Raw genomic sequence first — 23056 nt, 5'->3', positions numbered from 1 at the left:
TCTAATTATTAATATAATTCTAAATACTACACTTGTTTCTTTTTAGTTCTTCAGTTCTTACTCTATATATATATATATATATTTAATCACAGGCAAATGTGTAAGATGAGGAATTTAATTTTCATTTCTCCCTTCCTCTTGGTTTTGTTTGATGTGTTACTTTTAGTTTTTACATTGCTTATACAACAATTCAATGTAAATAAATTATGTTGCTCATTTCAACAATTCTATATATTATAGAAAGAATATTTTATACTACATTACTAATTAAAGCTAAAACTGCTTATGTGTAGGTAACTTAGCAAATCTATAGAAATAAATAGATGAAGGTGATCAGCCAACATATCCTCAAATATTGTGATTTGCTTACATTTTACATTCCAAACGAAAAGCTAAGATTCAATTTTATTTTAATTTCTAGATAAGAAATTACTTATTTTATAATAGCAAAAATTGTTTAGGAAAATATTTTTCTGACTATGAGATGCAGAATGGAACTGCAGAAAATCCTCAGATTTGAAATGCCTTTACAGGATCCAAATAGAGCCTCGGTTTTGGAAAAATTACTGCAGATTTAATTATATGAACCAGGAGTGATACAGCTTAAGTATAAGCTGACTTTGGCTGATGGCAATCAGATTCCTCAGTGAAATTACTAGAAAGAGCTTGTCAACTCTTAAGTCCTGTGCTCAAACATACATATTTCAAAGAACTTCAGATTTTTTTTTCAGTTTAGGGAGAAATACAGGTATTGCATACCAAGCAAATTGATTATTGGGAAAGTGTGTGTGTGTGTGTGTGTGTGTGTGTGTGTGTGTGAGAGAGAGAGAGAGAGAGGCAGCATGGGAGGAAAAGTTCAGTGAGAGTTGCGTTTTAAGAACAATAATCTTCTGGATTTAATGGAGTAATTTTGATATTTATTTGGTATTTTCGTGGTTCTGATTCCACGTTTAAAGGAGAGAATAGAGTATTAGTAAGTTGCTACTACCAACAACTCTTTATTTTCAGGAAAATACTGATAACATTTAGACTACTTAGGACCTATTAGTGATAATGAACTCGAGAGAAACCCCATACAATGTCTATGGTGTTTAAATTATTGGTCAATAATTATCCTTATTATAACTTCAATATAAAATCAAGTATTATACATAATGTTTTAATATCATTGCTCTTTTTTTAGCATGCCATCACTATACATTTTTGCTGAGAACTGAAACTACTGGTTTTGTATAAAAGTACATTACATATTTCAATGTTCTGTCATTTGAGAAGAAATAATATGAGAACATTGCAGTAATTTTTTAGAATGTAAGGTTGTAGATATTGAGACATACTAAATGTTTGGGAAACAGTAGTTTAAGTTTCACAGCCCTCAGCCCAAATATGTAATGGAATTTCCCTTTAGAATTACCCTTTAGAAGTATTTCATTTAGAATTACCACTTACATATTTGGGATGAGGGCTACATAACTTAGAGTAGTGTTTCCCAAACTGTGTTCTAAAGGCATCATTTCAAAAACAGGTTAATGGGTGTTTCTTGAAAGTGAGCAAATAGTACCCTTTTCTTAGAAAGTCAGTATGCAGATTAGCATAATTAAGTCTGAAAAGATTTGCAGTACAGTTAATTGGCTTTCAAAACTGTATTTAATATCATATTTCCCAAGCATATCTGTGTAGATAAGCTTTTTATTATTTTTCAACATACCTATTGTTGTATTTTTAGCATATCTATTATGATCACAGTAGTCAGTAACCTCATATAACTTACCACCTGTTTTTGTAATGTTTTATTGCAACAGAGCCATGCCCACTTGGGCTTTGGTGCTGTAATGACAGAGTTGAGGGTAGCTGCAACATAGACCATATGGTTGGCAAAGCCTAAAGATAGTTATTATCTGGTTCTTTACAGAAAAATGTTTGCCAGTCCTGATAGCACAACAAAATAGTACTGGACATTAAATTGGGAAACACCAAATTAAAGAAGTATATTATAATTTTAAACATTATTTCTTATAGACCATTGTAAAATACATGTAAATACCTGCAATATTTAAAATCAATTTTAATTATATGAAATTTGCAATAATGTGACTTTTATTTTTATGAAATTATTTACTTTATTTATATTTTAATATAATTGATGTGTATGAAACTAAAAAATGATTTAGCAAGGAAAGAATACAAGTATTCTTACAAATCTTGTCTAAAGCAAAGAGAAAACATTACTTCATAAACTATTTGATAGGCTGCTATTTCTTTTGTGAAATCCTCTAGAGAAGATTAAAAGTGCATTATCATTCTTCCTTGATTTCCTTTTAGGAGTAGTTACTGATATAAATGTCTATGTGCATAATCACTATGTCTTACCATTTTGACTTTGAGAATACTTTGCTCCCCCTTAACATTCAAAATTAACTAGTAAAAGGTATTAGATCATAAATGTTGAAACTTGAGTTTACTGTCTCAGACGTTATATAGATTTCCAAACTAAAGCATCTGTCTCAATCCTTCATGAAGTATTAGTAATGCGGCTGAATGAAACTCTCTTAATTTTTTTTTCAGGAAGAACTGAACCCCATTATTGTTACGCCACCAATCCAAGCCATTGATCAGGACCGGAATATTCAACCGCCATCAGATAGGCCAGGAATCCTCTATTCCATCCTTGTTGGTTTGTATCTGATAACATTTTACACTATCAGTTATTCTAGAATCTTACAGTAACAAATTCTCTCAATTCCAAGGAAATATTTTAAATAACAAAGTTTATTATTTGACATGATTGTTACTTTTGTGTATAAACACATTTTAAAAATAATAATTCAAGATATTTGCTTCCTCAATTTGTTGGACTGAAATGTGTAGAATGATAAATGAATAACTTTTATGGAAGAAGCAAAGCAATTCAAAATATTAGGAAATTAACCTACATATTAGTATTTTTCTACATATCAACTTATCATATAAAACTTCCTCTAGCACCAACTTTCAGCTTTAATATAAAATGAAAAACATTTTACACGTGTTTTACCTTTGGTTGGTTACTATACATAATTGTGATAATATATGACTGAATTTAAAAAGAGCTATTTTGGAGCCATTTAAAAAAAAAAGGTGAGAGAGCACGATTAGCCCAAGGGAACACGAAATATTAACCTTTGGTAAATATTTTTCTTGAAAAATTCCACAGAAACCATCCTAATCCATCCCTATGCATATACTACTAATTGTGTCAAAAGCAAAAATGATGAGAAATTGATTATGCTGCTCTTCTTAGATTGCTTTTGCTGAAATATGGATGTTGCTGATTTGCATAGCCTCTAGACAGACAGATGCATGTGAGACAGGCTATATATCTTTTAAGGGAGAAAGGGCTTCTTTTGAAGTGTGCTTGAAAAATAACTTTAATGGAGTTCAGCATTAGCCCTCAACCCCTTTCTGTCCTCTTACTTGAAGCCTATGTGCATATACAAATACACAACAACCAACAGATATTAGATTTGCAAATATCATACTGTATCCTTCTTAGAAATGCTGTCTGTAAAGAAAATTCAAGCAATTCTGTTTCAAGCCTTTGGTCTTTATAAAGACACAAATATCATAAGCAGAGCTCAGACTTTTATATTTGTAAAAAACTTTCATAAACAGAAACTATTTTAAGTCTATAGAGATCTTGGTGTAGATAATAAAGCATCATTTATTTCATTAACTGAAGGCTTGACTGTATGTCAATCACTCTTATTAGATGCTAAAAACACAAATATGAGAGATGAATGTTCTAGGTTAGGGAGTCGTGGAGTCTGTGGCTAAAAAACATTAAAACAACGTAAAAGATAAATTAAAATACAATATTTAAGGCACTCTAAATAAAGTTTGAACCACATGTAGGCTCATGAGAGGAGAGCATTAAGCATTTTATGAGAATTGCTTAGGAAGTGTCATTTTAGCAGAAAGACAGGAGTTTCCAGGTGGAAAAAGAGAGACAATTATCTATATAGATAATGCAGCATGTGCAAAAGCCAAAGGATGAAATTTAATAACAGACTTGGATAATTATGATACTCAGAGCCAGTTGGATGCATTGGTGTTCAAGTTTATTTCACTTTTAAAAGTTATGTGCATTCTTTTTCTCAACAAACGATCACCTACCCTGTGAAGCAACCCCTATCACTGACTTTGTGGAGCCAGTTTTCTGGCAGAAGAGATAGGCAATAAACATTTACTATAATAAGTAAGTGTTTATTATCAAAGTTAGAAAGTTGTGAATGCTATGGGAAAAATCGATCATATGAATGGGATTGGAAAAGCAGAGGAGGATTGTAGTAGAAGTTGCAGTGTTAAGCAGTATCATCAGCACTTGTGTCATCAAAAGGTAAGCTGTTAGCAAAGGCTTACAGAAGCTGAGGAAGTTATTCTCGTTGATATCTCCGGGAAGAGTTCTAGGCAGAGATCAAAACTGAAGCTTGCCAGGTGGGTTTCAGAAACAACAAGGGGGCCGGAAGTACTGGAAAGAAGTGAGTGAGGTAAAAGTAGAAAGGTGACAGATAAGAACAGAGCAGAAACTAGAGAGCCTTGTATGTTATTTATCTACTTTGTATTTTTCTCTGAGTGAAATGAGGAGCCAATTAAAAAATTTTAACAGAAAAGTGACACAGTGATGGAAAGTTTCATCAGCCTACAACCGTAGGATAGTGGATTGTCCCAAACAATAGATATAAACTCTTACAATTATTTGCTGTCACAGCTAAGGTAAATGAATAATATCCTTTTACACTATTTACATTTTTAGAAGGAAGAGAATTGTAGGGGTTGAGAGTGTAGCCTCTGGAAATTGTACTGTCCATGTTAAAAATCCTGACTTTAACTCACACTAGACATAATTTTATTTAAGTTATTTAGCCCCCCTTTACCTGAAATTAGTCCTTCTTATTTTCTTCTTTTGAGACAGTGTCTTGCTCTGTCACCCGCACTGGAGTGCAGCGGCACAATCATAGCTCATTGAAGCTTCGACTTCCTGGGTTCAAGCGATCCTCCCACCTTAGCCTCCCTAAGTTCTGGGATTACAGGCGTGAGCCACTACCTGACCAGATTATTCTTCTTTAATATAGGATTAACAAAAATAGATCTTTGTACAAAAGGGTTGTGAGAATTTGATCCAATACATTGTAAATGTACATAATGCTGCCTGGAAAAAAAGTTAATGCTCAATACATTTTAGTTGACATTGTTATTAGCATTAGGAAGGAAAATAAGGCATGTTACCTAAGTCACATCAGTCTGGTACAAATGGAAACACAAAAACAAAAACCAGACACAGCACACACACACACACACACACACACACACACACACACACACACAGAAGGGGATATCCATGACTCTGACTTCACGTACTTTGTCAAAACTCTTAATTTTCCCTAAATCCATACAAATACTTCTGAATATATGTGTTTCTCCAAGCTAACAGTAAATTACCACATGGACGACTCCTCTCCTGCTTCCATTTGTTATAGACAGTCTCTGTTTACTATATGTGAGGATACGGATGCTGATGTCTATGACGAGGTCATCCAAGGGCTGTTGTCAACCTCTTCAATGGTTCTACTGTCATGAACATCAATGGCAGAATTATTGACTAGCCAAAAGTCTTTAAAGGAAAAGCTAGATAATGATGTTCATAGGGAGTTTTAAAAAGTTTAACATATTTCTGGGATTCTAAAAAGATAAAAGCAAGCTGTATATATACTCAGGAAGCACTTGGGAAGGCCCTAAGCTCTCATCTCTGACTAACCTTGAAACTCTGCAAATGCAGTAACTTAAGGTCAAGATGGAACAACTCCATAAAGCAGCTAGACCTAAAAGATATCTACAAAACACTCTACCCCCTAACAGCAGAATACACATTCTTCTCAAGTGCACCTAGAATGTTCTTCAGTATAGATCATGTTAGGCCATAAAACCAATATCGTTAAATTGAAGATGATTGAAATAATACAAACTCTATTCTCTGACAAAAATGGAATGCAATTAGAAATTATAATGAAGGAAATTTTGGAAATTCACAAGTGTATGGAAGTTAAACATTCTTTAATCAATGACTCATGGAAGAAATAAAATCAGAAAAATACTTTGAGACAAATAAAAATAACAATACTTTGTAACATGTATTTTAATCTCTAATCAATAATGTAATATTTGTCACAAAGACACTGGAAATGTTAAGCAAACTAAAGAAAAAGAGCAGAAGGGAGGCCATCTGTGGTGACTCACACATGTAATTCCAACATTTTGGGAGGCCGAGACAGTTGGATTGCTTGAGACCTGGAGTTTGAGACCAGCCTGGGCAATATGGCGAAACCCTGTCTCTACAAAAAATACAAGAATTAGCTGGGCATAGTGGTGTGCACCTGTGGCCTCAGCTACTCAGGAGGCTAAGGTGGGAGAATCACCTGGGTCTGGGAAGTCAAGGCTGCAGGGCTGCAGTGAGCTACGATCACATCATTTTACTCCAGCCTGAGTGATGGAGGAGATTGGAGGTGACTCTCTTTAAAAAAAAAAAAAAAAAAAAAGAAAGAAAGCTAAACAACACAATAGAAATAATAGAGACTACAGTGGAAAGTAATAAAAGAGGGATTAGGAAATCAGTAGAGATAATAAATGAAGCCAAAATCAATTCTTTGAAATCATCAACAAAATTAACAAACCTCTAGCTAGACTGACCAGGAATAAAAGAGATAAGATGCAATTTACTAACTTGGAATGAAAGAGAGGACCTTCTATTTAGCTTAGAGAAATAAAAAAATGTTATGAGGGAATATTATATACAATTTATGCCAACTAGACAAATGGATGCAATGGACAAATTCCTGGAATCAAACTATTCAAACTGACTTCAGAAAAAATAAAAAATTGGGGTAGACTTTTAACAAGTTAATAGACTGACTTAGTAATCAAAAAGATCTTCCCACAAAGAAGAATTCTGGATCAGATGCTTTACTGGTAAATTCTACCATTAGAGAATATTTAATACCTCTTCTGTGTTAGTCTGTTCTTGCACTGCTATAAATAACTACCTGTTACTGGGTGATTTATAAATAAAAATAGGTTTAAGTGGCTCACAGTTCTACAGGCTGTACAAGAAGCATGGCTGGAGAAGCCTCAGGAAACTTTCAATCATGGCTGAAGGGGAAGTTGGCGCATCTTACGTGGCCAGAGCAGGAGAGAGAAGGGGTGGTACTACACACTTTTAAACAACCAGATCTCATGAGAACTCACTCACTGACACCACTGTCACCAGAACAGCAAGGGGGAAATTTCCCCCCATTATTCAATGACCTCCTACCAGGTCCCTCCTCCTACATTGGAGATTACAATTTAACATGAGATTTGGGTGGGGAAACAAATCCAAACCATATCATGAAACCCCTGGTTCCTCTGAAATCTCATGTCATTCTCACATTGCAAAATACAATCATCCTTTCTCAACAGTTCCCCAAGTCTTAACTGATTTCAGAATTAACTGAGAAGTCCACAGTCCAAAATCTCATCTGAGACAAGGCAAGTCCCTTCCGCCTATGAGCCTGAAAAAACTTACAAGATACAATGGGGGTACAGGCTTTGGGTGAATACACCCATTCCAAAAAAGGAGAAATCAGCCAAAGCAAAGGGTCTACAGTCCCCATGGAAGTCCAAAACCCAGGAGGGCAGTCATTAAATCTTAAATCTCCAAAATAATCTCCTTTGACTTCATGTCTCATATCCAGGCCACACTGATGCAGGGGGTGGGCTCCCAAGGCCTTGGGTATTTCTGCCTCTGTGGCTTTGCACAGTACAGCCCCATTGGCTGATTTCATGGGCTGGTGTTTGGTGCTTGTGCCTTTTCCAGGTGCACATTGCAAGCTGTCAGTGGATCTACCATTCTGGGGTCTGGAGAATAGTTGCCTTCTTCTCACAGCTCCAATAGGCAGTGCCCCAGTGGGAACTCTGTGTGGGGGCTCCCACCTCACATTTCCCTTCCACACTGCCCTGGTAGAGGTGTTCCATGAGGGCTCCACCCCTGCAGCAGATTTCTGCCTGGACATCCAGACATTTCCATACATCCTTTGAAATGTAAGTGGAGGCTTCCAAGCCTCAACCATTGCCCTCTGTGTGTCCACAGGTTTAACATCACATGGAAGCTGCCAAGGCTATGGCTTGCATGCTCTGAAGCAGAGGCCTGAGGCATATCTGGGGGCCATGTAGCCATGGCTAGAGCTGGAATGGCTGGATGCAGGAAGCAGTGTCCTGAGGTTGCACAGGGCAGTGGAGCCGTGGTCCTGGCCCACAAAACCATTCTTTCCTCCTAAGTCTCAAGGCCTATGGTGGAGAAACCTGCCATGAAGGTCTCTGAAAGAAAAGCATAATCTGTAGACCCCTTAATCATATATGTAGCTGAAATTTCTGCTTCTAATTGTGTTATCAAGTCTGACCATTTTTAATGTAAATGTTAACAGCTATCAAGCTCTGTTGCAGCACTGTCATTAATAATGATATCATACAATGTGTATTTATTTCTAATAATATAAGAAAGTCTGCTGACTTTAGCTTGTAACAGTAGCTTGTAGTATTAAGTACTCTTATATGAGCAGCTAATGTGTGAAAAGTAATATGTATTAAATATCATATAGATGAGATATATGTTACATACTAAAACATAAATATAATATTGCTAACAGTATTTTTTCTAATTTTTCAAAGTATGATTATAATAATATTATGAATATTCTGGCAACTAAAATGTTGGTGTCACCCATTGATTAAGAATGGAGATACTAGAGCCAGAAACCTTGGTTTAAATTTTTTTATCAACCTTCATTAACTGTGGTAGGTATTATCAAGTATTAGCACTTTCATGGCCAAGTATACAGTATACTCATATTGGAAATGTGAAGAGAAAAACACATTTTTTGTCCCTTCCTCAATGCATATATCACATTGAGAAGGGATGAAAATGTTCATGGGCCCAACATTTCTTCTATTGTGTATTTCATATTTCACAGTTACCATATTTCATTTTGTATTTCATATTTCACAGTTATCAGAGAGTCCATATTTTTCTGTTTCCTTTTTTGTTTTCTTATTTTTTGTTTATATTTTCTTTTGTTTCATGATCCTTGTGCTACACAACTGGGTTCTTATAACTGAACACTTATAGCTGAGCACATGTGGTTTTTTCAAACATTATATAACCTTAAATATATCCCCCAAGGTGTATTTTTCCTCATGCCTTACCATTCTCTAGAATGCTTCTTCTAATTTTAATGTACTTCTACATTTTGGAAATTATTTTTTAAAGAAAATGTTCTTTATAGAATTTATTTAAAATAGTCCATTTAATTGCATGTATGCCTGCCTTTTAAGAAGGCAAAAGTGAAAGCTATCAAACTTCTGAAGGCCTGATCCCAGAACTGAATCAGTAGAAATAATCTACTATCATATACTGGTCAAAGCAAGGACAATTCCTGCCCAGATTTAAGGTGAGGGGAAAAAAAGATTATTTTACTTGTTAGGAAACAAAAAATGTTTTCCATCTTTGATCTAATTCAAGTAATTCAAGGAGATGAGAGGGTTCATAAAGTGGAGCTCTGAACTTTAAGACATAAATAACTTTAGGCAAGATTGTGTGTGTATGTTAGTATATTATTCCGTTTTCATGCTGCTGATAAAGACATACCTGAGACTACATAATTTACAAAAGAAAGAGGTTTAATGGATTTACAGTTCCACATGTTCAGGAAGGCCTCACAATCATGGCGGAAGGTGAACGGCATGTCTCACATGGCAAAATATAAGAAAAGAGAGCTTGTGAAGGAAACTCCCACTTTTAATACCATCAGATCTTGTGAGACTTATTCACTTTCACGAGAAGAGTACAGGAAAGACCCGCCTTCATGATTCAATTACCTCCCACAAGCTTCCTCCCATGAGATTCAGAAACTGTGGGAGTTACAATTCAAGATGAGATTTGGGTGGGGACACAGCCAAAACCATATCATTTAGTTAATGATAGCTACATTTTATAATGAATACATAACTTTTATGATCCTTCATCCCATGAATTAAAAAATATTTTTGAGTACACACTCTAATATTTAAGAATTATACATGTATTTTATCAGTCATTAAATTTTCAATGTTCATATATCACATAGAAAATGATTAATTGTATTATATATAAGTCAACATTATAAATAATTGTATTAATTACATCAAAATTGTCAGTCTGACTTTATTTCCGGTCTGCCTGGATCTCCACGGTTTTGACCTAATAACATGACTGATTAAGCTGTTTTAGCAGAGGAATGGGAAGGGATTTTTCCATCTCTGTTGGTGTTCACTTCTACACATATCATTAGTGTTACCTTTAATCTCAGGTTTATTTGCAGAGATATTTCTCAGCTATTTATTCATTTTTTTGAGCATTAGTTTGGTGTAAAATTAATATTATAAAATACAGATCCCTTTAACTGGCCAAATGTAAACTAAAAGTCACTGCAATGTGTTGAAAGCAAACAGACAAGAGAGAAGGCTGCTTGTGATGCTTAATTTTATTTGACAGCTTGACTGATTTAAGGCATGTAGAAAGAGCTGGTAAAACATTATTTCTGGGTCTGTCTAAGAGAGTGTTTCAAAAAGAGACTAATATTTGAATCAGAAGACTGAGTGAAGAAGATCTGCTCTTACCAATATGGGCAGGTATCATCCAGTCCATTGAGGGCCTGAATAGAACAAAAAGGCAGAGGAAGGATGAGTTCTCTCTTCTTGAACTGGAACGTCCATCTTCTCCTGCCATCAAACATTACAGTGCTTAGTTCTCAGGCTTTCAGATTCTGAGACTTATACCAATGACTCCCCTGGTTCTTAGGCCTCTGGACCTGATAAAAAATGCACCACCAGTTTTTCTGGTTCTCTAATTTGCAGAGAGTAGATGCTCTTAGCATTCATAACAAATGATATCGCTTGGCTGTGTCACCACCCAAATCTCATTTTGAATTCCTATGTGTTGTGGGAGGGACAAGGTGGGAGGTAATTGAATAATGGGGCCAAGTCTTTCCTGTGTTGTTATTGTGATAGTGAATAAGTCTCACAAGATCTGATGATTTTTTTTTAAAAAGAGGAGTTCCCCTGCACAAGTGTTCTCTCTTTGCCTGCTGCCATCCATGTAAGATGTGGGTTGCTCCTCCTTGCCTTCCACCATGATTGTAAAGCTTCCTCAGCCACGTGGAACTGTAAGTCCAATTAAACCTTTTTCTTTTGAAAATTGCCCAGTCTCTGGTATGTCTTTATCAGCTGTGTGAAAATGAACTAATACAGTAAATTGGTAACAGGAGTGGGGTGTTGCTGAAAAGAGACCCAAAAATGCAGAAACGACTTTGGAACTGGGTAACAGGCAGAGATTGGAACAGTTTGCAGGGCTCTGTAGAAGATAGGAAGATGCGAGAAAGTTTGGAACTCTCTAGAGACTTACCGAATGGCTTTGACCAAAATGCTGATAATGATATTAATGATGAAAACCAGGCTGAGGTGGTCTCAGATAGAGATGAGGAACTTGTTGGTAACTGGAGCAAAGGTGACTCTTGTTATGTTTTAGCAAAAAGACTGGCAGCATTTTGCCCCTGCCTTAGATATTTGTGGAACTTTGAACTTGAGAGATGATTGAGGTTATCTGGTGGAAGAAATTTCTAAGTAGCAAAAGCATTCAAGAGGTGACTTGGGTGCTGTTAAAGGCATTCAGTTTTATTAGGGAAACAGAGCATAAAAGTTCAGAATATTTACAGCCTGATAATTTGATAGAAAAGAAAATCTCATTTTTTGAGGAGAAATTCAAGCTGGCTGCAGAAATTTGCATAAGTAACGAGGAGCTGTATGTTAATCCTGTAGATAATGGGAAAAACGTCTCCAGGACATTTCAGAGGTCTTCATGACAGCCCCTCCCACCACCAGCCTGGAGGCCTGGGGAGAAAAGATGGTTCTGTGGGCTGGGCCCAGGATCCCCATGCTTGTGCAGCCTTGGGACTTGTTGCCCTGTGTCCTAGCTGCTCCAGCTGTGGCTGAAAGGGGCCAACATAGAGCTCAGGCCCTGCTTCAGAGGGTGTAAGCCCCAAGCTTCAGCAGCTTCCACAAAGTATTGAGCCTGTGAGTGCTCAGAAGTCAAGAATTGAGGTTTGGGAAGCTCCACCTAGATTTCAGAAGATGTGTGGAAATGCCTTGTATGTTAAGGCAGAAGTTTGCTTCAGGGGCAGGGATCTCATGAAGAACCTCCACTAGTGCAGTGCAGGAGGGAAACTTGGGGTCAGAGCCCCCACACTGAGTCCCTACTGGGGCACCACCTAGTGGAGCTGTGAGAAGAGGGCCACCATTTTACAGACCCCAGAATGGTAGATCCACCAACAGCTTACACAGTACCTCTGGAAAAACTACAGACACCCGACCCCAGCCCATGAAAGCAGCCAGGAGGGGGCTACACTCTGCAAAGCAACAGGGGTGGAGTTGTCCAAGGCTGTGGAAGCCCACCACTTACATCAGTGTGACCTGGATGTGAGACATGGAGTCAAAGGAGATCATTTCAGAGCTTTAAGATTTGACTTTCCTGCTGGATTTTGGACTTGGGGGCCTGTAGACCCTTCGTTTTGGCCAATTTCTCCCATTTGGAATGGCTGTATTTATCCAATGCCCGTATCCCCACTCTATCTAGAAAGTAACTAGCCTGCTTTTGATTTTACAGATGCATAGGTGGAAGGAACTTGCCTTGTCTCTGGTGAGACTTTGGACTGTGGACTTTTGAGTTAATGCTGAAATGGGTTAACACTTTGGAGGACTATTGAGAAGGCATGAATTGTTTTGAAATGTGAGGATGTGAGATTTGGGAGAGGTCAAGTGCAGAATGATATGGTTTGGCTGTGTCTCACCCAAATCTCACCTAGAGATGGGATCTCACTATGCTATGCATGCTGGTCTCGAACTCCTGACACAGGTGATCTGCCTGCCTCAGCCTCCCAAAGTGCTGGGATTATAGGCATGAGCCACCATGCCTGGCCATAGATCTCATCTTAAATTCCCACATGTTGTGGGAGGGACCATGTGGGAGATAACTGAATAATGGTGGCAAGTCTTTCCGTTGCTGTTCTCATGACAGTGAATAATCTCACGAGATATGATGGTTTTAAAAAGCAGAGTTCCCCTGCAGAAGCTCTCTCTCTCTTTGCCTGCTGCCATCCATGTAAGAAGTGACGTGCTTTTCCTTGCCTTCCACCATGAGTGTGAGGCTCCAGCCACGTGGAACTGTAAGTCCAATTAAACCTTTTTCCTTTGTAAATTGCCCAGTCTTGGGTATGTCTTTTCACCAGTGTGAAAATGGACTAAAACAACAAATTTGCATAATCAATCAGCCAATTGATTGACAGAATCAATCCCTCTCTCTCTCTCTTTCTTTCTCACTGTCAGTACTAATATGTCCTTATAGCCTATTTGTTTTGTTTCTCTAAAGAACTCTGAATAATACACTGCTGCTTATCCCTTCACACTGTACACTTGTCACATCTCCCTCAAGATTCCTTGCTTGTCCCTAAAACATACAGAGACACAGTGTCAGTCAGTATATAAAGCATTAGCTAAGTTTACTTTTGTATTATTTTATTTAAAAATAAATATAAAGTTTGAATAGGAGTGGTAATAGCATGGGTCTATGCCCCTAAAACGTTAAAGCTTAAGATCTGTGCATTTCACTATATGTAAATTGAATCAATCATAAAGAAAAATAAATTTATACCTTTTATTCTCAATTCTATTTTAGGGGTTACCCCAGTACACAATAGATAAAATTTTGTCTAGATAATTGGGCAATAAAAGTAGCGTTTTAGAAAGTTTCCTTCAGTGATTATAAGGGAATGGAATGTCAGAAGATATTAGGAGGCTATCACCGTGGTACAAGTATGAAATGACAAGGGTCTAAGTAAGGTAAGAGATTAGGACTATGAAAAAGGAACACATCAGAGAGACGTTCTAAGGTAAGGAAGAATCACTTGGAAAATGTGTAGAGAACTGGCTAGTGAAAGTAACTTGGGGATTTGAATCTACGTAGTCAGAAAAAATGTTGGTTCTATTAGTAATAACATAGTTTCTGAATTTTGTAATTATTTTTATGTTTAAATAACAGATATGAACGTATCATGTACCATGAAGAGGTGGTTTTCAAACTTTAAAGGATACAAGAATTCAGTGAGATTGTTCAAAGTGCATTCTCTTGACCTCCCTTTTCAGAGCTTCTGATTCAGAAGATCTGGGACAAGAACTCGGTCTTTCTAGTGTAGGTATACCTGAACTATACAATCAGAAGCATTGTCATAAATATGCATAGGAAAAGCAACCCAATAAAATCTTTGGTAAAGATTTTTTGAAGTTGAGATATTGGCTACTAAGATAAGAATTTTAGTTTTCCCTAATAATATGTAAAAATGGATTTAAATTATTTTGGTGGCTATTACACAGTTATTAAAAACATTTTCGATAAGAAAATGAAGTTCGTTATTTATAACAAGTAGCTGAAAAAGAAGTTTTGCAAAGGAGACAGATTTAGAACTAATGATTTTTGGAAGCTGTAAAAGCAGGACAAAGGTAGTTTACTTTTTGCATTTAGAATTATCAAAGAATGCACTAAGAGAACATATTAGCTGAAAAGAAAAAGTGCTAAAGTTAAAATTAATGGAAGAAAATAATGAGAAATTAGAGGTAATTTTTCTAATATATGTTTGAACCTAGGGATAACTTGATACAAAAACAAATGTGTTGTTAGGGCATAGATGAAAATAATGGTTAAAATTATCAACAAAATTTTAGTTATGTAAAAGGGGTAGCAGGTGAATTTAATGTCAGAGGAATGGAATATTAATATAATTAATCCCAAGATCAAATAAGGGAATGACTAAAAAGAAATAAAACCCAGAGCTTCAGAGATGGTTCAGAAGCAGCTATATTTTTAGATGAATTAAGCTTTGCTAAATAGAGTTTATATTACATTTTCTAAGTGGGATAAATAAGGGATTCTGTAGGGACCTTGAACTTAGACATGTGTTTCTATTCTCGTACAATGTTTTTACATTTCAATACCTTGGCTTCTGCAGGGTATCCAGCATTCATGGTTCATTAAAAGGTTTTCACAAAAAAATTACCTGGAGAGATAAGTTACATGTTATAATTGTTTTTGTTCTACCAAAGGAAATTGTGGGTGTTTTCATTAGCAGTGTTTTATTGAAACTGACTATAATTTCTATATATCTACAATGTCAAAATCTGAGGAATTACCACACATCTTCATGGCACCCAGAAGACAGTGTTCTCTTTTATTTCTGTGTTAATCAGCTTACTAATTTTATATGTAAAGATAAACATTTTCAGTGGTGAAGGGAAAAATTTGATACTGTATTTTTTGAGGTAGTGCTCCTTTGAAGTATATTAGATGTGCATTTTCAAATGTATGAAGCATTAAAAACAAATGTTTTCCTGAATGGGCCTCTTTGGGTAAAAAATACAGAGGTGAACTTAAGTTCATCTTGGCGTTTAAGGAAATTTATTGAAAGGACTTTGTTTTCTTCCAGAATTCAAGGAACTGTCAAAAACAATAACATTTTAAGAAGCAGAAACAGGAATTTCAAGATGAGGGATTAGAGGGCCTTTCCTCTAGATGCCCATTATTTTTGTGGTACAGATTGTACATCCATCTTCTGATTCTTTGCTCTAAATAAAAATTATTGAAAGATTAAGTGGTAATTATATAGTTTAGGTCAGGCATCCACATTTCCTTCAATTTACTATATGTAGGGAATCAGAAGTATTATGCTAATAAATGATAGGCAAATACAGCTATGAGAAAAAACTGTTAAGGTATAAACACTTCAAAAATAATATGAAGCAAAAGACAATTAAAAGAAGGAAAAGTTAATCTTTACAACCAACATTGCAGAACAATTGGACAGCCATATGTAAACAAATAAACTTCAATCCGTACCTCACACTATCTATAGAAACCAACTTGAAAGACTTTCTATACATAATGTAAGAGCTAAAACTATAAAGCATCTAAAAGATAATATTGGTAAAGATTTTTATGACCTTAGGGTTGGCAACAATTTCTCTTTTTTTTTTTTTTTTTTTTGAGACGTAGTTTTGTTGCCCAGGCTGGAGTGCAACGGCACAATCTCGGCTCACCACAACCTCCACCTCCCAGATTCAAGCAATTCTCCTCCCTCAGCCTCTCGAGTACCTAGATTACAGGCAAGTGCCACCATGCCTGGCTGATTCTCTATTTTTAGTAGAGACGGGGTTTCTCCATGTTGGTCAGGCTGGTTTCAAACTCCCGACCTCAGGTGATCCCCCCACCTCAGCCTTCGAAAGTGCTGGGATAACAGGCGTGAGCCACTGTGCCCGGCTGGCAACAATTTCTTAAATGTAACAAATGCAAATCTATAAAAGAAAAAATTTAAAATTTGACTTCATCAAAGTAAAAACGCATTTGCTTTTCAAAAGGCACTGACAATAGACTGAAAAAGAACTGACAGAAAAGGAGAATGTATTTGCGAAATGTATCCAACAAGTGACTTGTTTGGGGAATATATGAAAACACAATTTAATAAAAATGAGACAATTATAAAATGGCAGAAAGTTTTAACAAATTATTACAGATTTATAAACAAAATAAGAATATGAAAAGTTGCTCAATGTCATTAGCTAATTGGGAAATGCAAATTAATACCTCAATGAATATCACTACATACACACCAGAATGGCCAAAATTTAAATGACTGACAATATCAAGTGTTGGTGAAAATGTGGAAGATCTGAAATGCTCATACATTGCTGGTAAGAATGTAAAATGGTACAGACACATTGGAAAAATAATTTGGCAATTTCTTTAAAAGTTAAACATTACTCAACAATGAAAATATAATATTATTGATACACAGCAACTTGGAGGAATCTCTAATGCTTTATACTGAGTTGAAAGAAGCCAGTCTCCAAATCTTTATACTACACAATTCCATCTAAATGTCATTCTCAAAAAGATGAAAGTACGGTGGTGATGAACAAATCAGTCATTGCTAAAGATTTAACTTTGGGGAAGGAAAACACAAAGTAGTTATTTGATCATAAAACCATTCTATATCCCGATTGTGGTATTGACTACACAAACCTATACGTAACTGAAAATTAACAGACTTGTTCCCTGCCCAAAAATTCTTAATAAAACATTTAGACATAGACATATCATATGGCCTAGCCATTCCACTCCTAGATATTTGCTCAAGATAAATGAAAGCATAGATTCATTCAGAGAGGTATACAGGAAAGTTCATAGCATCTTTATTTGTGGCTGGAGGCAACTCAAGTGTTCATCAATGTATGAATAGATAAATGAGTTGTAGCATATCCATACAATAGAATAACACCTAGGCAATAGAAATAAATAAACTATTGATAAATGAAACAACATGGACTTCAAAATCATTATGCTAATTGAAAGAAGCCAGACACACCTACGAAAAGAATATATACTGTAAGGCCAGGCAGGGTGGCTCATGCCTGTAATCCCAGCACATTGGGAGGCCGAGGCCAGTGGATCACCTGAGGGCAGGAGTTCGAAACCAGCCTGGCCAACATGGTGAAACCCCGTCTCTACTACAAATACAAAAATTAGCTGGGCGTGGTGGTGGGCACCTGTAATCCCAGCTACTCTGGGGGTTGAGGCGGGAGAATTGCTTCAACTCAGGAGGCAGAAGTTGGAGTGAGCCAAGACAGCACCATTGCACTCCAGACTAGAAAAAAGAGCAAAACTCTTTCTCAAAATTAAAAAAAAAAAAAAGAATACATACTATATAAATGATCCCATTCCTATTATGCTGACAGACAGAAAGTGATCAGTGTTTGCATAGGGTGAGAAATATGAATGGGGAGAGAAAGGAGACATTGTCATAAGGAAATTTCTGGCAATTATGGATAGGCTTACTATCTTAGTCATGGTGATACTATCTTGATCAACACGTGTAATTAAAATTCTACATTTTAAATATATGAAGATAATTGTGTAGCATTTTTTCTTTATCCTACAGAAAACCCGTAATCTTCAAAATTGTAAACTTTTCACCAAGGGATTAATTTAGGTTGCCATTTCCTCTATAATACTGAAAAAGTGAAAAACGTAGAATTTTCTTAGCATATATAAAAATTAAAATAAATGTTTTGGCAACCACTAATTATGTTGGCTCTAATAATTATAATGCTGAAATTCACCGTATTATTTATAATTGTGATAATAAACATAGTTATCAATTTTACATCTAAATTTAGGCAATCAAAGCTGTTTCTAAAGAACCTCCCCAGTAGGTGGGACTACAGGTGCCCACAACCTCGCCCGGCTAATTTTTTGTTTCTAAAGAACAGCTTTAGGTTGACTGTAAACATTGTGTATAATGAAAGCACAAACATTAAGTGTTCTTAGTCCTCGCTGGAAAAGCATTACACTTTTAAGAAATGCAGGGAAATAAATTTCACTTGGTTTTACTCTTTGTCCAAGGAGATGTATTTATTTTACTTATTTATTTATTTATTTATTTATTTATTTATTTATTTATTTATTTTGAGACGGAGTCTCGCTCTGTCGCCCAGGCTGGAGTGCAGTGGCGCGATCTCGGCTCACTGCAAGCTCCGCCTCCTGGGTTCACTCCATTCTCCTGCGTCAGCCTCCGGAGTAGCTAGGACTACAGGCGCCCGCCACCACGCCCGGCTAATTTTTTGTATTTTTAGTAGAGACGGGGTTTCACCGTGTTAGCCAGGATGGTCTCGATCTCCTGACCTCGTGATCCGCCCGTCTCGGCCTCCCAAAGTGCTAAGGAGATGTATTTTTTAATTGCTAGTTATACTCTTGTTGAGTTGATATTCTGTAAGGATGTCTAAAAACCAACCTTCCAGAAACAGATGGCCGATGAAGCCAAAGTGTCTAATTCACTGAACTCAGGCTATATAGCATAACAGGAAAGAGTTTACACTCTGAATTTAGATACCTTGACTTCTGACCTAGTCATTTACTAGCCGTGAGAGTTCAGAATATTTTACTTAACTTCTGTGAGTGTTGGTTTCTTCACAGATCAAGCAATAAATATCTTTCCCATAAGATTGTTTTGAAACTTAGATGAGATAGATCATTTACAAATAAAGAGATTATAACATTTTCACCGTAGTAACTAGTTAACAGCTAGTAAGTATTACTCTCTGGGAAATGAAAATCTTTCCCAGCTCAGCGGCTATTATTCAATTATCTTCACCATTTTGGGTTCATTCTTCCAGGAGCCCTGCTCCATTCTATGCTGATGAAAGCTAGGGTAAAAGCAAACCAAAGCAAATGATAAATTATATTGCATTTTTGAAAACTCTTATTTAAAAATATATAAAATAAGAGATAGTAAATAAAATCACCATTTGGCATCACTTAGTTTCAAGAATTATGAAGACTTGGCCAAACTTATTAAAATATATATGTCTATCAATTTTTTTCCTCATTATTTTGAAAAAATATATAATTTTAATCCACAAATATTTGAATTTATGCTTATAAAATAACTATTTTTAGAGCATTCTGACAATATCATAGCACAAATAAAAAGTATAACAATCCTTATTTAATATTAAATATCAGTCAGTGTTTATTTTCACTTTCTCACAAATATTATTTTTGTTTTTTAGTTTCTTTTCTGTTTTTTTGTTTTTGTTTTTCTCGGAAAGGGAGAGATGCAAGGGGACCAGAATTCATGTAAGTTCACACGTTGGGATTGATAATTCTCCTAAGTCTCTTTTTTTTTTTTTTTTTTTTTTTTGAGATGGAGTCTTGTTCTGTTACCCAAGCTGGAGTGCAGTGGCGGGATCTTGGCTCACTGCAAGCTCCACCTCCCAGGTTCGCACCATTCTCCTGCCTCAGCCTCCCGAGTAGCTGGGACTACAGTCACCCGCCACCAAGCCTGGCTAATTTTTTTTTGTATTTTTAGTAGAGATGGGGTGTCACCGTGTTAGCCAGGATGGTCTCGATCTCCTGACCTGGTGATCTGCCCGTCTCGGCCTCCCAGAGTGCTGAGATTACAGGCATGAGCCACCACGCCCAGCCTCTCCTAAGTCTCCTTTTTTTTTTTTTTTTTTTTGAGACAAAGTCTCGCTCTGTCACCCAGGCTGGAGTGCAGTGGCACAATCTCAGCTCACTGCAAGCTCAGCCTCCTTGGTTCACGCCATTCTCCTGCCTCAACCTCCCCAGTAGCTGGGACTACAGGTGCCCACCACCACGCCCGGCTAATTTTTTGTTTTTTTTTTGTTTTTTTTTTTTTTTTTTAGTAGAGACAGGGTTTCACCATGTTAGCCAGGATGGTCTCGATCTCCTGACCTTGTGATCCTCCCGCCTCGGCCTCCCAAAGTGCTGGGATTACAGGCGTGAGCCACTGCGCCCAGCCCTAAGTCTCTTTTAATCTACAGTGGTTCTCTTTCCATTTATTTTTAAATTGTTTTCTTGTGATTCATTTATTGAGAAGTCAAGTTGTTTATATTATAGAGTTTCTCGTCATCTTGATTGTACTTTCCTTGGTTTAATTTTACATGTTACTCTGTCCCATGTTTCCTATAAATTTTGACACTTAATCAAATAACATATTTTGTTTGTTTCTTTGTTGGGTTTTCTCAAAACTGTTTCATAGGTGGTATAATAGTCTGCTTGCACTACCATTAAGAAACACCCTAGACTGAGTAGCTTAAGCAACAGAAAGGTGTTTTCTCACAGTTCTGGAGGCCTGAGATCAAGGTGCTTTCATGGTTGGTATTTGATGAAGCTTCTCCAGCTGCTTTCTTGTGTCTTCACATGGCCTTTCCTCTGTGTGCCCTTGGACAGAGAGAGAGGGAAGAGATAGAAAGAAAGAGAGACAAAGAGAACACCAGTCCCATCAGATTTAAGAGCCCACCCATATAGACTCATTTAATCTGATTACCTTCTTAAAAGGGTCTATCTCTCTATAATGGTCACATTGGGAGTAAGGGCTTCAACATAAAATTGTTAATGGTGAGGGGGACAACTCAGGCCATAGCAGATGATGTTGAATTAATTCTTCTATTGAGTGGTATGTATGTGGCTTTATCTCTTTTTTTGTGATATTAGCAGCATTTAGTGCTCAATGCCATGATCCATTCATTTATGAGGGGTTGTAAAATGATGGCACTCTGATACTATTACTCTTCTTAAATTATTAGCTGAAATAGTTTCTTAATGAGACACTTTTTAATCAATTATTTGTTTACCCCATGTTAAGCTCATATGGAAAAAGCATGCTCTGTTTTCTTATTTTCTAATTTACAAAATATTTCTCTAGCATGCTCCAAAAGTGATCAATACGTTATTTTGCAACACTCGTAAACTTATGAATTTAAACATATTTGATCTGTTTCAAATCATTACTGATATGATCCTTATTGATGCTCAAATTGTCTTATCTTTAGCTTAAAAAACAAAAAAACAAAAAAAAGCCTTTTGGCTCTTGAAAACTTTTCAAATCAGTTTAGTAGTCTCGGAATTCTTTCTTGCTACTTAGTGTGAGCAGATGTTTCACAGCTATTTGTTGATTTTCTGCCCTGGACCTGAAATCAGCTCTCTCTCTCAGAAATCTTAAGTGCTTTTATTGGTAAATAGTATTTCAAAACCATAGTCTGAACATTAGAAATATTCATCGCTTCTATATTGGCCATTATATATAGTTCTGTGTTTCAGCATTCAGAGCTGTGTTGTATGCATTTTGTTTCTTAAGATAAACTACAACCTGAGTTTAAACTTCCACTGCCAATTCAAAATCAAAACCATAGGTGTTCTATTTTACCTCTTTAATTTTTAATTTCTATCTCTTTATCATCCCCTGCCAAGAATCCAGCTTTCAATACTGAAAAGAATAGAATCAGAATGACACATAATAATGTGCTTATTTATTGTAAAATACTCCTATAACTATCTTGGAATCACAACATACCACCAATATGATTACTGTAGATAGCTTAACTTTTTGAGTTTTGTAATTTCTCTGGTACTTCACCTATATTACACTGTGGGTGTGATGTCAGTACTACTTTTAAAATTCACCTGGGGTAGTTCTTTTTGTTTGTGCTTGTGCCAACAACTAAATATACATTTAGATTGAATTATTTTATTTTATTTTTAGAGAAGTCCTTGAATTTAATTAGTTTTATAATAATATATAACATATGTAGCTCTAAAATGTAAAAAACTTGATATGGGTAATGAAATTTAGTTTCAGTGTTTATCCTCTCCACGTGTTCCCTCTCTTTCTCATAAGTAACAATTTTTTATGTTACAGTCTATCTTCGATTTTTAAATGTGTGTATGTATTCCTTTGTAAATATGCATGTGTATTCTTCTTAAAGGTTAGCATATTATAGGCCCTTGTTTCCAAATTGCTTTTTTTTACTTAATATAGCTGAAAATAACTCCATAGTAATAGCTAAAGATATCTATCATTTATCATTACATTTGAATTATCATCTGCTTTAGGATGTATCACCATTTATTTACCCAGACCACTATTGATGTATATTTAGGTGGTCATTTATCTTCCGTTATTATAAATGGGAAAATGTCCAGATGTGGGATGTATGGGTCAAAAAGTAAACATTAATATTATTTTGGTAGCTTATGTCATACTCTCCTTCATAAATTTTACAACACTTGTATTAACACCACCAGTGTCCAAAGTGTCTGTTTTCCTGCAGGCTCGCCAACAGAGTACAGTCTCCAACTGGGACAACTGCTAATCTAAGTGACTAATGAAATCTTAATGTAGGAATAATTTGTAGTTTTCTTCTTATGTATCGAGATAAGCATCTTTGCTTATCTTTGCTTATGATCTAGAGTCATTTGCCTTTCTCTTTCTGTGAACAGTTTTTTCTCTAGCCCCGAACATTTTGTTTTGTTTTGTGACGGAGTTTGGCT

At 36.0% G+C, this 23056-nt stretch overlaps 1 protein-coding gene across 20 annotated transcripts in view; it reads left to right on the top strand.

Moving 5' to 3' along the window:
- The window catches only part of PCDH15 (protocadherin related 15), a 1825172-nt gene that overhangs the window by 1388446 nt on the left and 413670 nt on the right, over positions 1 to 23056 (top strand). For all 20 annotated transcript variants that reach the window (XM_047425663.1, NM_001354420.2, NM_001354429.2 and 17 more), the window contains one exon: positions 2566 to 2674. In XM_047425663.1, coding sequence (XP_047281619.1) covers positions 2566 to 2674 — 109 coding nt within the window. The remainder of the gene's footprint in view (positions 1 to 2565; positions 2675 to 23056) is intronic.

The sequence above is a fragment of the Homo sapiens genome, chromosome 10 (genome assembly GCF_000001405.40).
Source record: "Homo sapiens chromosome 10, GRCh38.p14 Primary Assembly".
Classification (NCBI taxonomy): domain Eukaryota; kingdom Metazoa; phylum Chordata; class Mammalia; order Primates; family Hominidae; genus Homo; species Homo sapiens.
The sequence above is the reverse complement of the archived record's forward strand: the minus strand, read 5'-3'. Positions and strand labels throughout refer to the sequence as shown.